Source organism: Homo sapiens, chromosome 1 (genome assembly GCF_000001405.40).
Source record: "Homo sapiens chromosome 1, GRCh38.p14 Primary Assembly".
Lineage (NCBI taxonomy): Eukaryota > Metazoa > Chordata > Mammalia > Primates > Hominidae > Homo > Homo sapiens.
The window spans coordinates 118860750-118876513 of record NC_000001.11 but is presented as its reverse complement, the minus strand read 5'-3'; the positions used below and the strand labels follow the sequence as shown (position 1 = coordinate 118876513).

At 39.9% G+C, this 15764-nt stretch overlaps 1 long non-coding RNA gene across 1 annotated transcript in view, besides 1 other annotated feature; it reads left to right on the top strand.

Moving 5' to 3' along the window:
* Positions 10207 to 11406: an enhancer, noted in NCBI's record as "CDK7 strongly-dependent group 2 enhancer chr1:119407731-119408930 (GRCh37/hg19 assembly coordinates)". NCBI's record gives its function as "activates an origin of replication core promoter dependent on BRD2, BRD4, P300/CBP, MED14 and CDK7 cofactors, with strong dependence on CDK7, by STARR-seq in HCT116 cells {active_cell/tissue: HCT116}" and the evidence as "EXISTENCE:reporter gene assay evidence [ECO:0000049][PMID:35650434]".
* LOC107985447 (uncharacterized) overlaps positions 10212 to 15764 on the top strand; it is a 58364-nt gene continuing 52811 nt past the window's right edge. The window contains exon 1 of the long non-coding RNA XR_001737805.1: positions 10212 to 10640. This is a non-coding gene — a long non-coding RNA (uncharacterized LOC107985447). The remainder of the gene's footprint in view (positions 10641 to 15764) is intronic.

Genomic DNA, 15764 nt, shown 5'->3' with positions numbered 1-15764 from the left:
AATACTGAAGGATACTGAGGTATAGGCAAAACTAAAGGCCAATCTATGTGGCCGCCAAATTCCTTGTCTCCTACAAGGTGAAAGCATGGGGAAGTCAGTCATTCTTTCAACACCTCCCCTCCAACAAAGGCATGGTAAATAAAGTTACCCTTTGAGAGTTAAACTAATTAGCCTTTTTGCAGTGACAATTCTAGTGGGCCATATGTCCTTCTGTCTGAGTGTCAACACAAGTCATACTTAATATTTCATCACACTAATATTGGCAACAGAAAGAGTTCTGGAATAGAATTAATTCACAGGCCTGGAAATAATTTTTACCTTAACCCATTCAACTAAACCTTCAACAATGGCTCACCAATATGTACTGAATGTATATTTTCTGCAGGACATAGTGCTAAGTGTTGGTAATATGCAGATAAGTGAGAGCTAGTCCATCCAACTTAGGAGCTCTAATGTGTCTATTGTGGTGACAGACCAAAAATAGAAACAATTACTGTAGTGAGGAAATGCCAAAATAGAGGTAAATATGGATACTATGGGAGCAGTTGGGTCAGCCTAAAGTTCAGGGGAGGCTTTCTGGAGATGACGATGAGTAGTTGAAAGTGAGACTGCTTAACACAGACAGAGGATAAGCTGACAACCAGTGATTATAATTAGAGTGGCCTGTCATAATGCTCCAAGGAAATGCAGAAGCCCACTGCCACGTGATGCAGTATGCCTATGGATTTCTGGAAATTTTATATAAGAGGAAATGGCTCTGGGGTGGTATGAAATAACAACACATGGTCTAAGATTTAGAGTCTAAGGGACTAAGCACCATTAGACATGTGGAAGCTCACTTTTATAAGAAGTGCTGTGCAGCTCAAGGGGCTACGCAAATCAGAACAATAGATATACGTAGGGCATTCATCATCTTGCCATATCCTTATATCCATACTTATCCCAGAAAAGACTGCAGGAGCCTGAGCAGAGCTTCAATGTCCTTTGAATATTTGGAGATCAATAGCATGTATGACCATGTCATCTTCACATCGGGAACATGATGATGTGAATGTGTGCAGACACTTAACCCACCACAGAAAAGCCAAGCACAGAGTGAAAAGGTCACTTGTGGGAAGGTGTGAGATGTGTGGGGAAAGCCAAATCACAGAAGAGTTACCCATGAAGGGGCCAAGTCAAGCAAGATTCAACAGGGGCCGTCTTGCCCGTTCAGGAATTTTATAAGCCCACACTCAAGGGTGCTAGTGGGACCCAGAGATCCAAAATTATGGGTTATTTAACTTGGCCTTCAGCATGACTAGCTCTTTTGTGACTTGGCTGTTCTTGGGGATGTCACACCTTGATTCTATTGGGCTTTACTGAAGAATATTTTTTTAGGTGCATTTTATGCTTTCAATGGCACTGTCCTTTCTGTTTAGAGAAAAAAATAAAGAAGAATCAGCAGTAGGGGATATATATTTATTTCAGCTCACTATCTCAGGGAAAACTTTGCTTTGAAAAGAGTTGCACTACAAGAACACAGTCACAATGGGACCTGCTATTGTAAACAAAACATCATTTTTCTCTTACTGCATTAAGCAGTAGACCCTGATTAGAACTAGGTGACATTAAGATGGAAGTGAGAAGATGGGAGAGTAACCCTTAGATTTAAATGAGCATCTATTTTTGGCTTTAGCACTCCTAAATGCCCACCACAAAAAAATCAGTGGTTTAAAGTCTAAGTTCTGTCATCTGTCCAAGACAGCACAGATTTCTTATGCTTGGACAGGATGGAGTGCTGCTGTGATGAGAGGAGATCAAGAAACTGGCCTGAAGACAAGATTGAAAAATCTGGAACAACGAGAAATGAGCAGAGACTCCTGTAAGGCCTAATGGCAGCAACTCTCCAGGAGTCTGGTCTTCTAACTCTGTTTTATAGGTCAGGAGATGACAGAATGAAATACATTCTTATTTGATTTCCATTGACTCCCCCTCTGGAAACCGAGATTTTATTGGCATATTTTGCTTCTAAAGAAGCTACAGTCTTTGGGATAAATTCAGTGGTTTTTCTGCCGTACCCTGGAAGGCAAAACACAGAGAAAGAGCCCTAGACCTAGCTTTTTTTAAAAAAAGTCCTGGATTTTAGCCTTTGGTTCCATTATTTATTAGCTATAAGATAGACTTCAATACCTCATAGACTATTAAAGATAATGTTAAAATAATGCAAACAAAAACCCTAATCTCATTGAGGGCCCTATAATAGATACTTGATAAATGCTAGTTGTGCTGGTGTTTGCCTATCTATCTTCTGGACAGAAAACAACATGTCAGCCCAAGCTATTTAAAGAAAGACATGATTAGATGAGCATGACTGCCTATTCCATTAATGCCAGTCTGCAGAAACATTGAACCAGTGAGAATTTTGCTTAGGTCAGATTGCAATTGATGAGAGCACCTTCCTGGTAAAGTGGGGCACTGAGGAATGCTATATGGATGTTTCACTGGGTCATTCATAATGATAAGCATGGCATGGATGGGCTGAAAGAGTAGTAGATTCAAGTCCCAGCTCTGCCACTAATCACCAGTTATGACAGCCTTCAGGACTTTCTGGGCTTCAGTTTCCTGTCTTTAAAATGGAAGTGTCAAAAGAGAGGATTTCTAAGTTCTTTGCCATTGCTAATGCTCCATGAAAGATAGCCGGGTCTTGTCCATGATTTTTGGTCAATCTTTGGAGTAGATTCTGTTTAAAGAAATAAATAAGAAAGATGAGTAATAATAAGCTGACAAATCTCATTTGAATAGAAAATTAAACTAGAAAACTTGGGTACATCATCTCTGCCCAGGCACTTGTAAGTGCTTCTTAATACTTAGTTTTTATTGAAATATATTTTCTCTTCATAGCCATGGCACTCTGAGAAACAGAAAACCTGAAAGAAGACACTTACCCATCAGCATTCGGTAGAGAAACTCCTGGATTTGGAATCACAATAGAGTTCTCTCACTTGCTGGCATCAGTTTCTCTGCATGTCACCTTCCTTCATCTATAAAATAATGACAGTTGTTTTTTACTTATGAAAAAGAAAGGACTGCTAGAATTTGAAAAATATTTGTAAACTATCCATACATATAGGCTCCTCTACTGGATTATGATGCTTAAGGACAGAAGTTTTTTCTTTTATGTTTTTGGTGGCATAGAGTACAGTTGTGGGGTCACAGTAGGTGCTAAGTTAATGAGCTAATGAGTTAATGAGTTGATCTGATAAGGACTAAATATTTTCTTTATATATTCACTTTTAAAATTTACAAAATGACTTCTTGCTTGTTGTAACAAAACGAAATGCCAAAGTATATTCAACAAAAATAAAAACTTTCCCCAGATGTACTATTGTTAATGGTTTGGTATGTAGCTTTCCAGATTTTTGTCTCTAAACCTGTTCAACCTATGTGCTCACCTATATGTTTACTCTGACACATATATTCACATAGATTTTTATTTCCTTCCTTTTTTTCTTTATTTGCTTTAACCAAAAAGGAATAATACCATACATATTATTCTATACATAGCTTTTGAAAAATTCACTTATCCCATAGCTGGCTGCCTATGATTCCATATTATTGATGTGCCATAATTTTTTTTTTTTTTGAGACAGAGTCTCACTCTGCCACCCAGGCTGGAGTGCAGTGGTACGATCTCGGCTCACTGCAAGTTCCGCCTCCTGGGTTCACACCATTCTCCTGCCTCAGCCTCCCAAGTAGCTGGAACTACAGGCACCCGCCACCACGCCTGGTTAATTTTTTATATTTTTAGTAGAAATGGGGTTTCACCATGTTAGCCAGGATGGTCTCGATCTCCTGACCTCGTGATCTACCCGCCTCAGCCTCCCAAAGTGTTGGGATTACAGGCATTAACCACTGCGCCCGGCTTATGTGCCATAATTTTTATGCAGTTCACTGCAGATAGTCATTTAGTTTGCTCTTATTTATTTATTTATTTATTTATTTATTTATTTCCAGTATAAATAATGATGAAATAGGCCCGGATGGTGGCTCATGCCTGTAATCCCAGCACTTAGGGAGGCAGAGGGGAGAGGATAGCTTGAGTCCAGGAGTTTGAGACCTGCTTGGGCAACATAGTGAGGGCTTGTTCTCCACAAAAAGAAAAAAAAGCCAAAAAATGATGAAATAAAATTTTAAAATATATTTTGACTACCTATAGGCATTAAATTTTAACTAACCCTAGCTCTAGCTCCCTGTGGATCAAGTCTGCAGGAAAATTATGCAGGATTCCAAAGATAGACTTTGCTCTTAGCGGCTTATCAAGGCTTCCTCAGCTCTCTTATAATCCCAAAATGAGCAAGGCTTACTCAACAGCTGCTGCCAGCCCTGGTTTCCCCAAATGGATCATCTTGTGGGCTTCAGCAGACTTGAGAGTGAACACGTTGGATGCTGGCCCCAATAACCTCCTCGTCTTTTCCACAAATGTCCAGGGCAGGGGTGGGGTTCTCCTTGTCTCTAACCATACATAGGCAATTTTAGCAACAGCTTCTCTGGCATCTGTTTTACCGGGTTCTTAATCTCAGGAGCATTAGTAATTGATACCATAAATAATATCACCGGTGAGTGGCTGGAATCTTGGGATGGGCTGAGAATTTGACCTGGAGGTTCCGGGGGATCTTACAAGAGTAGCCTTGTGGTAAACTAATATCTGTGGCAAATAAAAGGGTGACTCTAGCACATAGCTGAGTGGACACGCAGGTTTCCTAGCCTGGAGGTGCTCCATAAATAAGATAAGGTTTCCTGACCTATCTCTGGGATTATTTGTAGTCATGGTAACAGCATGTGGTAGCTACAAGTCTGTTCTGTGACTAGGGGAGTGGGGCTTCAGACTTCAGGCTGCAAGCCAGAGGTTGCCAACAGGTGGTATGTTGTTAGTAAGTACGTAAGTGCTAGATATTGAAAAAATAACTTGATGCCATTTAAAAATTGAGAAATTTTACATAAAAGTCTGGATTTCCGGTATCTCTTGGGACAAATGCAAAGGAAGATTTGGTAATTTTGAGGTCACAGTTTTATGTGGGTGCCAAGTAGGGCTGCCCTCTTGAAAGTGTCATCAGTTATCCAATTCGACAGTCGTCATGTAACCTGCTCCACTGGTATTCGAGTTTGCAACTTTTGGCTTGGATGTAATGATATTTACAACTCAAAAATTATGTTGCTGCTTATTGCTAAGTGGAAGAGGTAACCACTCACATGATGTAAATTTAGTGGCAAACTTCAGAGTTCTCAATCCTCAATTATTTCTTCTTTTATTTACCAGAGGACAAAAATGCCAACATTAAAATTGATTTGACGATAAGTAATAGCTGACATCTGTCCTAGAAGAATTGTTATCCCCATGCTACGGATAAATAAACTGAGGCCCAGAGAGGTTAAGTACATTGCCCAAGTTCACCAAGTTAAGTACATTGCCCAAGTGTAAGTGGTAGAGTCAGTACCAGACAGCATCTCTCCAGAAATTGTACTTGGAATCAATGGGTCTCATTTCTTCAGTTCCTTCCAAAGATGAAAAATGCCTCCAGGTAGAGGGAAACTTAGAGTGTTTGTCAGCTGAGGCTAAAGGGTAGTTAGTTGACAGCTGTGTCTTCAGCTTACGGGTATCCTAGGGCATAGAATGCCCTGATGGAGAGTGGGCAGGGCACTGAGAAGAATCTCCTAGTTAAAGATCACGACTGCACAGAGGGCATGGGAAGGGCCCTGATGTTCAGGAGAATGGAATTCAAAGAACAGTGCTGATAGAAAAAAGATAACCTTAGGATAAAGAGCAAAATGCGCATCCTGAGGACTCAGGGAAATCAAGGCTCACCAACAAGACCAAGGGGATTTTAGGCTACATGTGGAGGGTGAGGATGGAGTCAAAATAAAAATGTAGAATAAGTTGAAGCTTATGAAAAAATAAGAAAGTTTCTTTTGCTAGAATATGCTCAGTCACTTGGGGGAGTGCCTATAATGTATGACAGAGGAGAGGGGAGAAGCAAAGTGGCCTCAGTTTCTGACAAATCCCCACTTCCTTCACCAAGAAGTGTCTCAGTACTGGAAAGTGTAGAACAGCATAAATGAACAGGAATTGAAAACCCCAATAGGCAAGAAGAGAGTATAAGAGCCCTAGAAAAAAGGGAGGTGTGACTCAGTGGAGAGAATCTGCATTTGGGATTTAGAAAGACCTGGTTGATTCCAGACTCAGCCTGACTCTAGATGTAAAACCTTTGTCAACTTTTTTTTCTGTGAACCTCAGTTTTCCCAGCATTGTGGTTAGGATTAAATGTGCTACATGTATTAAATACCTGGTACATAGCAGACCCTCAGCACAAAGCTGGGCGGACATGCAGGCTTTCCAGATTGGAGATGCTCCATAAAGGAGATAAAGTTTCCCAACCTGTTGCTGGGATGATTTGCAGTCATGGTTACAGTATTTTGTAGCTGCAAGTGCTTTCTGTGCCTCAGGGAGTGGTGCTCCAGATTTCGTTAAGCTCAATTCTTCCCAGATGAATCTAAATATGTGGGCACTAGAGAAATGTATAGATGAGATGAGGAAATGGTTGGTAATTGTTAAGAACATGGATATTGAGAGAAGTCCTGGAAGAATTGGAGAAGGGCAAACATCATTATTTTGAAAGAGAAGTTGGGAGGAAGAAATTTTAAATGCTATAGACTTGATGTGAAACCCAGGAAATATTCTGAAATGTATTAGTAAGCAGATGACTTGAGAGTACTTGGAAAAGACAGCAGTGATGTCAAGGAGTCAGCCCAGGATCATTAAGAAACAATTATTTCAAGCAAATACCATTTTATCTTTATGTCAGAATACTGAGCTAATTGGTAAGGATAATGCTATCACATAGCAAATCATACTATGGATGGGACATTTGACAAAAATTTTAAGATATTTTGGGGATAAAATGGTGAGTCATGGACCGAAAGACAATACAGTCCAAGCTTGTAGAACTGAAATACTGTTAATGAGCTGACCACTCTAAATTCTCGAGGGAGCCCCCAGAGCTACACTACAGTGGATTTTGTACTTAGCCTTATCTTCACCAAAATCTTTGTTAGCAATTTAGGAGAAGTAGATTGCATATCAGAAAAATTTGTAACATATTATCACTGAGAGAAGAAAATAAGACACTGAACAAGGGGATCAAGATGAAAAATATGTTAACAGTCTTCAAAATGCGTCAGTAATTAAAATTAGCGAACTTAACAGAGGTGTGTATTTATTTTTACTTTTGAATTCCAAAATGTTTAGAATGTACAGAAAAAGGGGAGAACTATGTTGAAAAAGCACAAGTGAAAATAAATCTGTTTTTCTCTTTCTTTGTGGAGTTGTTGACTGGAATTTCAATGCAAGTCAAAGTATGTTGTGATTCTTAAAATAGCGGGTTCAATTCTAGGCTGAAGTGACCAGATTAAGTAAGAGAATACAGTAGACTCCCATCAGACTATGTGTATGGTAGTGGCAATAGTAGCAGTGGTGATAGAGGTGCTGTTAGTGGTAATGGTAGCTAATATTTATGGAGCATTTCTCTACCTGACACGGTTTTTCCATGGAAGTATTAGCTTAATATACATAGCAGCATTAGACTAAGGGCTGAAAGAACTTTAAAATCTCAGTGACTTAATATAGTAAAATTTTATTCTTGCCCCTGTTGCATACCATGGGTCAAGGGAGAGATGGGGGTGAAGAAATGCAGTCATGCGGAGACTCAAGTTTTTTTAATTTTGTAGCTCCATCCTCCTGTAAGTCCTTGGAGCTGTTTCCATTCAGTAGGCAGATGAAGAAAGGGAGGGAGGATCACACACAAAAAAGATGGACTAAACCAATTAGTGGGGAAAAAATAAGAATATGTGGAAATTTGCTTTTAACCTTCTTGCATGAAAAACAACCATTTACTCCATGTAAAAGCACTGATTTATTTGCCAGAAAAGCACACACACAATGTCAGACTTAGTCTGAAAGTGGTATATATCCTTAGGCCCACCTTCCCTTCCTGGAAGTCAGTCATATGGTCTCTTCTAACTACAAGGGAGGCTGGAACGTGGACTCCAGGGTGCCCAAGAGGATGAGCAGAGCACAGATGCTGGTAAAAACAAACTGTTTTTACCAGGCATAAATGAACAGGAATTGGTGCTATTTCTTTTAATGTTCAACATACACCTATGAGGTAGAAAATACTACTAGCCCCATTTTGAAGAAGGAGAAAAACAGATTCAATGGTGGCACAGTCCAGAGCTGTGTATTATACTTAAAGAAAAATAATGGCAAGTAACATATTTCAAAGCAATGGGATCTTCATAGGTATTTCATGGGATCTCTATACATGAAATAGGATCTTCATAGTAAGTTTGAGGGAACTGTTTATATATAACCTGGAAAGGATAAGATGACATGGATGCTATGATAAATATCTTTCAAATGGTTGATGAGTTGATTTCAACTTGACTTGAAATTATTTTCTGGAAGCTAGGGGCATTCTATTAACAGCCATGATTCCTGGCATTGGTAAGAACTCTTTGAACCAATCTAGATGCCCATCAATAGTGAACTGGATAAAACCCAGAAATATGGTACATATACACTATGGAATACTATGCAACTATTAAAAAATGAGATCATGTCCTTTGAAGCAATGTGCATGGAACTGGAGGCCATTATCCTAAGTGAATTAATGCAGGAACAGAAAACCAAATACGGTATATTCTCACTTATTAGTGGGGACTAAACATTGAGTACACATGGACACTGGGACGCATTTGAGGGTGTCGGGTTAGGGGAGCAAGAGAATTGAAAAACTACCTATTGGGTATTATGCTGATTACTTGGGTGACAAAATTATCTGTACACCAAACCCCATGAGACACAATTTACCCATGTAACAAACTTGCACCTAAACCCCTTGATGTTAAATAAAAATTTGAAAGAAAAAAAATGTTCCTATGCAGGCAAAAGGAGTACCTCTTATGGATATTGTTGAAGGAACTCCCAAATTGGGTAGAAGCATCTGTTCTATGATTTTGTGGGATAAAAAGACACTATCTGTACTTTAAACTTTTGCCATGGGGCTCTGCTTTCTTACTTGGCATTATGGCTGGAAACAGTCTTCTACAAATTTACCATTTGAACACAGTAAAATTTCTTTAATTTAGATGTACTGGGCAGGGTGTGTAAGTGTGAAGTTGTGGGGGTGGTGGTAAAGAGGAAGTAGGATATAAACAAGCTGGTCTGAATTAGGTATTAAGAATGAATAAAATACTATTAAAAATAAATTTAGTTTTATTCTATTATTTTGAACTGGATTAATATCACCTCCTTTTTGGATCTATTTTTAGTGACTAATCCTGATATTTTGTATGTGCTTTTCTGGCAAATAAATCAGTGCTTTTAAATGGGGTAAATGGTTGTCGTTTTTCATTCAAGAAGGTTACAAGCAAATTTCCACATATTCTTATTTTTTTCTCACTAATTGGTTTAGTCCATCTTTCTTAATATTGTATTACAAATGCAAACTAAATTTCAGACCCTATTCTAAAGATTAGAAACTAAATTAGGGACATTTGAATGAATGAGAAACATATACATCATTTTGTTCCTTAAGGCAAATCTTTGAGGAGTTTCTACTAATGCCTCACTTACGTGAAAACAACATAGTAAAATTTAATTTAATTTTAAAACATTCCTTTATTTAGATAAATTTTTATTAGACTGGAATTCTTATTCCCTTCTTCCTTCCCCTTCTTCTCTGCCCACCATCTGCTTGCTCTTAAGTTTGTGTTTTTTTTGTACTTGATTAAGTTTGTTGTTTTTTTTTCTTAATTCTTGATTAAGTTTGTGTGATTTTTTTTTTTAAAAAAGCTCTCACCCACAAATGTTGGCAGTAGTTAGGTATCCTGGGCTCTAGAGCCCTAAGAGAGCTTGAGAGGAAGTGGATGGAGCTGGAAGGAGGGGCGGGGCATGGAGCTGCTAGAATAACAATTTGCTGAACTGACTAACATTTTCTATGATTCAAATGATGGACTTTACTGGTGTTGTGTAGACTGAGTCCTACCGGAGGAGGGCGGAAGGCGTGGGCAGGAGTTCCAGCTCTCCCTTCCATGAGCTATGAAACCTTAGGCGAGTGGTTTAAATGTTCCAGAACTCGGTTTCCACATTTAAAACATGAGTATAATAAGATGACCTGCCCTATCTTCATCCACTTTTCAGAGTAATGTGTCAATATTGCAATGGATGTGAAAGTGCTCTTTTTCCCTCACCTCCATCTCTCTTTTTCTTTCTTTCTTTTTTTTTTAATTTAAAAATTACTTCAGAGACCACAACAGCCAAAAGATACCTAACTTTTGGGCAATTTTCTCAGAATCACCCTTAACGTTTTACAGGATGGGGGTTGTGGAAATTTGGCTGATTGAATGAGTCTCCTCTCCGGGGCTCCAAAAACCCGGTAGAGCTGATTTGCGCAGCGAAAGAAGCATTCTGGGGGAAAAGCTTCACTTCCTCAAAGAGACAGGACAGAGGCATCTTCAGCAGAGAACATTGTTCTGCTTTTGGGGGAAACAATGGCTGAAGAACAACTTCACACAGGAAGAGGCTGGGATAATTGAATTCCTTGCGGGTAAGAGTCAAGGGTGGATCTGGTTTTGTTATTAACTCCATGTGAAGTTCCATGTGGTGGTCATGAAAATGCACCCTAAGGACTTGCGAATACAGGGAAAATGACCAAGGGCCTAGATACTGCTCCTGAAATCTCCTTCACGCCAAGGCCACACCTCCCATGTGTGCTGCAGCCAAGGGTGAGCACGGCTGGGATTCTGAGGCAGGACCGTTCCTGGGAGATGTAGGGGCTGGGAGCTGACTCTGGCTGGCTCAAAGAGGCCCCAACAGCCTCCTCGAATCTTTTTCTTAGATGGCACAGCAGTCTAGGGCTCTTCCACCCAACCGTCTCATTCTCTTCTTCACTCCGGGTCAGACTTGCTTCCTGGTCTGAGTCTCCCATCTTTCTCCCTTTTCTCTCACAGAGCCGTTTCCTCTAATAAAATCTTTGCACATTTAATCCCAAGTTGACTTCTGCTTTTTATAGGATCCAGAATAACACAATTGGCAGATTGTCTAAATGGCTCAGCTTTACCTTTTATATCTTGCAAATTGGGAGAAATGGGGGACAGAAAGAGAAGCTAGAAGAGCAAAGGGGAACCGAGGTTTATTCAGTTACGTCTCCATGACAGAAGGAGACATACACGATTTCACATAATTATCTTACCAATTTAAACGTTCTAGGTGCTGTCTTACAGAAGAGGAAGCCCGTGTTCAGAGAAATTAAATAACTAGCTCAAGTTCACATAACTAATCATCGCAGAGCCTGGATTGGAACCCAGCTTTCTTCTAACTTCATGATTTTGTCTTTTCTTCCACTTTCTCTCCTTTTCTGGATGCTTTATTGTGAGGATCCAGATGAGATAACAAGTGTGAATGCCCTTTGAAAACGTAAAAAAAAAGTGTTACTCCGAAGCCAGAGGTATATTTTTATTGGTTGCAGTCAGGATCACTACATCTTATGCAGGATAGTGCAAAGTGAAAATGTGGGTCTCCTTGTTCAAATTTATTGAGCATTTCAAGATGACAATGGCAGAGCATTAAACGATGGGACTTCCTGAGTGTGAAACTCATGAACCTAGCCCTGGTAACAGAATCGTCAATATGGGGCAATCAAATTGAGCTTGTGGGACGTTTTCTAGAAGAATAAATTCTAAAACTTGATAGTTCCGAGAGGTAATGTAGAAAAGAAAGCCCTAGCTTTCAGAGGCTCTCAATGCAGTAGAAATGACCTCTGGCTATCTTTTGAAGTCATCTTGCATATTAAACAAAAACAGAGACTTCTGGGCCCAAGAGATCCAATAATGTTTATGGGAAAACAAGGGGCAAAGGGCAGGATGTGCCTGTAGCAGTTCCCTCCCAGGTCCTGTGTTTCTGGTGCTGGATACCTAGGCTTCATCTAAAGACATGAAGGGGTTTACCTCATGGAAAAGTACAGGCCCTGCTGCCTTTTCTGTCCAGCAGTATAAAGCCATACTTACTAAATTAGTTATGGGCTCAGTTTTTGGGGCAGCCTGCTCTCCTGAGGAGTGCTGCTGTCTTCAAGTATGGGGCAAACATTCATCATGGGCCACCAGAAGCCCATACTCACTTCACTTAACCAGATGAAGCCTGTGGAGGCTTCAGATCCAAATTGCCTCTTTAAGGGTGCCAGACAAAAAAAACCAATGTGATTCCTCCTGTGGCTGGGGACATCTTCTGTCAGGTCAAATATCTATTTGTCTGGAAAAACCTAGATAAGCCTCTTTGTAAGCAGTGTGAGGCATACGTGCACATTATCCTGGCCCTTAGTGCAGCTAGTTTCCAGTGAGCATACGGATCCTTTTAAACTAGGCAGGGAAATCCATCAGCATTGTCCTCATTCCCGCTTGGATTTGACCTTTCACTTTGAGCTTTTGACATGGTTAATAAGAGCTACTCTATCATTTCATGGCACATAAGCTGGTGACAGCCTGAAGGAAAATGATCATGAGTCTTAGAGTTATTGAGTGGTAGGGACCTCAATTGTCCACCCTTATGCCTTTGGGCAATCTAGCACCAGCCTCATCTCTTACCACTTCCTCATTTGTTCTTTGTGCTAACTAATGCCATACTGTTTTATATGTATTCACTTTTGCAGAGTCTTTTAACTGGCCTGGAATACCGTGTGTAGAAAGTAAAAAGTTTCCTCCTCAAAGTTTCCCTTCTTGTTAAAGAATAAATCATAAGTGTTAGAAATAATAGTTTCTTTTAAAGACTAACTTACTTCAAGCCTCCTTGCTTTGTGCTAATAACTCTTTGTTAAGCCCTATCCTATGTAACTGTTGGACATGCTCACAGACACTTTCCAGCTCACAGCCTACGCCCCTTCCTTATTTGGAAATGTTATTGCTTCCTTAAACCTTTCATGAGCAACTTCCTCTCCTTCTTTGTTCTTCCTTGCACTTACCTATTTAGGAAAGTTTTAGGTTATTAGCAAATCGGGTATTAGTTTAAGATTGTGAGGTCCAGTCCCAGCCAATGGATGCAGGACACAGCAGTCAGGACCATCCAAATGTGTAAGGGATAAATATGTCTGCTTTTCCTTTGTTCAGGTGTGCTCTCACCATTGTTCCATCTGTGATTGAGCACCCTTTCTGCAGAAAGTAAAGATTCCCTGGCTGAGAGATCTTTTGTCTCCGTTTTGACATTTCTTCGTGGCACTGATTATCTATTTCTAACACCTGTCTATTTTGTTCATGTGGGGAACTCTTACTTTTTAAAACTGCTGCTGAGAAATGTCAATAGCTTGCTCAGGGCCTCGTTCCTCTTTCTCAGTATTAACTCACATATAGTCATTATCTACTGTGTGTTGTCTTTCCTACTAGTGGTTGTGAGCTTAAAGGCCTGGAATTGTCCTTGCTGGTCTCCATAAGCCTGGGTATTGTGGTATGTAAACCACAGTAGATTTTCATTAATGATTGATGAATAGAAGTGAATGAATGAATCATCCCATGTCCAGAATATCTCTCCCAGGGTCTTTCCACAGAACCAAATAGTTTCCTAGTCCATGTTCTCTTAGTCTGGCCTCAGTGGAAATGTAAACATTGTCTTTGTATAACAAACTGTGGACCATACTCAGTCTTCATCTTTCACGGAGAAACAATGCTTGCTTCTTTCATAAAGTTATACAGGCATTTTTGTTTTGTTTTGTTTTGTTTTGAGATGGAGTTTCGCTCTTGTTGCCCAGGCTGGAGTGCAGTGGTGCAATCTTGGCTGACCACAATGTCTGCCTGCTGAGTTCAAGCAATTCTCCTGCCTCAGCCTCCTAAGTAGCTGGGATTACAGGCATGCGTCACCATGCCCAGCTAATTTTTATATTTTTTTGTAGAGATGGGGTATCTCCATGTTGGTCAGGGTGGTCACCCGACCTCAGGTGATCTGCCCACCTTGGCCTCCCAAAGTGCTGGGATTACAGGTGTGAGCCGCCGCACCCAGATGGGGAATTCTTTAAAAAAAAAATTTTTTTTTTAACTTTCAGCTACATTCAATGTTCTTTCCAGAAATTTCTACAGGAATGAGTCATAGCAATAAGGGGTTTATTCTTTGATAATATTCAGAAGGCCAGGATACAGTCAGCATGGCTTAATGGACTGTCCAGCTCTATAAAGTCACTCTTGAGTGGTGTTTGATTGAGTCTCTAGTTTGGGTGAGAAGAAAAATTTTCCCCAAAGATCAAAGGGGACCCATGTCTTGGAACTAAGGATGAGGTAAATCAATGTCATCAAATAATTCCACAGATTAGAATAGTTTAAGGATTGTCAGAGGCCCACTCCTGGCTTATAGTATTTATATCATCCACTGTTTATACCTGGAAGTGTTTAGAATCAATTCTATTTCACTTTTCCTGCTGAGAGTCATGGGACAGTTATTTTATAAGAGGAAGATACTGGCATATTAACTAAGTATCATTTCAGATTTTGGAGAAATATTAAAGATGATTTGTAAGACCATGACCAAGCCTGTAACAAGTTGGAAACATTTTTCAAAACCAAAAACACTTCGTTAGCATAGATCTTTTGAGTGGAGAAATAAAAGATATGACAGAAAAAACCCTAGGTTTATGGTAAAGAAAACACAAATGTCCATTTCTCTAGGCTGTAAGAGTTTTCAGCCTGTGATGTTTGCAGATGCCTCCTATATGCTGAGCACTGCACGATGGGATAAGGCTTTAACTCTGTTTCAAATTCAGATTTGTCAGAAGTACACAAGGTGTGGTTTGTTTTCATGGCAAAGATTAGAGGATGGGTGGGTGAGATCCAGTCAGTCATATCTTTACCCCATGAACCAAAGAGGGGGCTGCCATGACCCTATGGAAGGTGGTCTCTACCAAATGACCCCATGGAAGGTGGCCTGCCTTTGTGCCTGAGCACTCAGGCTTTTAGTGGCTGACTGCTGCATGGTAGAGCAGGCAAGGCTGGTGGAATAACAGTATCACTTTACTGTCCCAGGAGGATTTCAGAGATAAGCCTGGACATATTAGTGGTAAGAGCTCCCTCTGAGGGGTTGAAAAAATCTGGCCTGAGGTCTACCATGAAAGGAATGTAGGCAGGACCACATATAGATGTCTTAGATTTGTTTAGGTCTCTCCTGATTTCAAAGATCTTGTCTCATTTTTAGGCCATGTCAGATCAATGGGTCAGATCATGTTGTCTGATTTTTAATAAAAAAATATCGTTATGAACAATGTGGATAATTTGCAGAGGGTATTATCCACCCTTCAGATGATTATATGCTTCTCTTGGAAGGATTTCTTTGAAATTCTGAGAGGAGAAGCACATAGAGTTTCTTACATTTCAGGGAAGTGTTTTCCAAACTGTTTTCCAAGGAAGTGTTGATACGTGTTTATCAAAAATCAAGGGCTGTGGTTTAATAAATATTGGGAACATTGGGCCTAACAAAGTTAAGCAGACATATTTATGCAGGGACTTCTCAGAGCTCTTAATTTGCTAATATAAGTTGTGATTCTCTAAGACAAAATGAGAGATGTTTTCCAAACTTATTGCCTAAGAAAACATATTGCTCTGGCATCTTCTGATGGTATCATTCAAAAAGAATGATACCATCTCTTTTTGAAAACATAGTTTGAAAATAGGGTGTGTTTATAATTGGTCATCCAAGCAAGGAC